This window comes from Homo sapiens, chromosome 14 (assembly GCF_000001405.40).
Source record: "Homo sapiens chromosome 14, GRCh38.p14 Primary Assembly".
Taxonomy (NCBI): Eukaryota; Metazoa; Chordata; class Mammalia; order Primates; family Hominidae; genus Homo; species Homo sapiens.
The window spans coordinates 65,900,537-65,902,585 of NC_000014.9; the positions used below are offsets into that span (position 1 = coordinate 65,900,537).

Sequence of the window (2,049 nt, forward strand, 5' to 3'; positions counted from 1 at the left end):
TTGGAATGATTTCCAGAATATACTGTTAAGAGAAGAAAAGGAAAGAACAAAAGAATATCTATAGTATGCCATTCCTTATATAAGAAAAAAAGGATAAAACACACATAGCTGCTTGTTTTCACAAAAAAATTCAGGAAGTATAAATGAGATTATCTTAGGGATGGGTAGGAAGTAATGGGAATGGGGCTGTGCTGATAGTGATGAAGAGGAGTGACTTTTTTTGGGGGGGGTGGAGGTGTACCAAATGTCTTTATTTGAAGGAATAGTACAAATCAAAGAACTTAAGTGAATGTTTTGGTACAACTTATAGAAAAGGTAAAGGAAACCCCAACATGCATGCACTGCCTTGGTGACCAGGGAAGTCACCCATGGTTATGGGAAAATTAGCCTAAAGCTTAGCTCTCATTATTGCTCTGTCCCAGGGTGAGCTTGCCAAAGAGATAGTCTGCCAAGCCAGATTCAGGGGCTCCCACCTTGTGTGACTTGGTCACATGGTCACCCAATTCTTTGATGGATTTCACTTGCTCATTCAGGTAATGTGTCTCAATGAAGTCAACACAGTGGTGGTCATTTTTGTCAGTGGCCAGTTTGTGCAGTTCCAGTAGTGACTGATTCATGTTTTTTATCAAGTGTAATACACCCTCCATTGCATTCAGCCTGCTCTCCCAGTCATTACAGTATGGTTTCTTGATATCCTGAAGGAAGATTCAGCCACCTTGCTGGTTCTGCAGCATCTTCAGTGTCTCGGCATGTTTCCTCTTCTCATGAGATTGGTGAAGAAAGTACTTGGAAAAGTTCTTCAAAGCCACATCATCGCAGTCAAAGTAGTAAGATATGGACAGGAAGAGTTAGGAGGTGTAGCGTGAGCTCCAGGTTGAGCTGGCAGTTGATGGCAGCCTCTGTGTTCTGGTGGTGAGGCAGGAGAATAGGGTGTGGAGGCTGGGAACCTAAGGCCAATTTGCACTGATGTCCTAGAACCGAATCAAAAGGAAACCCCACCTCCCCGTGCCCAAGTAACGAAAAGATCAGAGGCTACTCTCTTTGTGCTGCCTTGCAGATGAAAAATAGAAAGTACATCTGTAACTTCACTTCAGCTGCTGGTCCCCTCCCACAACCAATCAGACTGGTCGTGGGCCAAATCTTCTTTTACAAAGGGTGTAACCAAGTAACCAATGGGAAACCTCTAGAGAGTATTTAAACCCCAGAAAATTCTGTAACCAGTGCTCTTGAACTGCTTGCTCAGCCTGCTCCTGCTCTCTGTGGAGTGTACTTTTGTTTCAGTAAATCTGTCCTTTCCTTGCTTCATCCTTTAGTTGCTTTGCTTGTGCATTTTGTCCAATTCTTTGTTCAAAATGCCAAGAATCTGGATGACTCCCAGTCAAGACCCTCCAATAGTATGGTAGTGGTGGCTCACCTGCAAGGGGGATGTAGTCAACATGGAGGCTAAGGAGAGGTGGCAGCGGCTGTGTGGCACTGGAGCAGCCGGGGCCTTGGAGCTGTCTGAGGGCTTGGTGAGGAGGAGGCAGAGGGCTGACTGTGAGCCGCAGGGGTGGGGTGGGGGGTGGGGGTAGAGGACCAGCACTGTGTTACATGCAAACACTGTTGAAGCAGGAAACCTCGGCGACTCCCAGTGAAGAACGTCTAGATATATTGTTGAGTACACCATTTTGTATAGCCTTGACTCTTAGAATCAGCATCTTACACATACCCCCAAATATAAACAAACACTTCAAAGCAAACAGGATGTAAGAATAATCAAAATGAAATAAAAACCAGAACAAGCGAATTTTTTTTCTTTCTTTTTTCTTTCTTTCTTTTTTTTTTTTTGACAGAGTTTCACTGCTTTTGTTGCCCAGGCTGGAGTGCAATGGCGTGATCTCGGCTCACCGCAATCTCCATCTCAAGTGATTCCCCTGCCTCAGCCTCCCAAGTAGCTGGGACTACAGGCACGTGCCACCACACCCAGCTAATTTTTGTATTTTTAGTAGATTTCATCACATTGGTCAGGCTGGTCTTGAACTCCTGACCTCAGTTGATCCACCCGCCTTG

At 45.0% G+C, this 2,049-nt stretch overlaps 1 pseudogene; it reads right to left on the minus strand.

The window, feature by feature from the left end:
- FTH1P13 (ferritin heavy chain 1 pseudogene 13) lies at positions 238–914 on the minus strand (annotated as a pseudogene).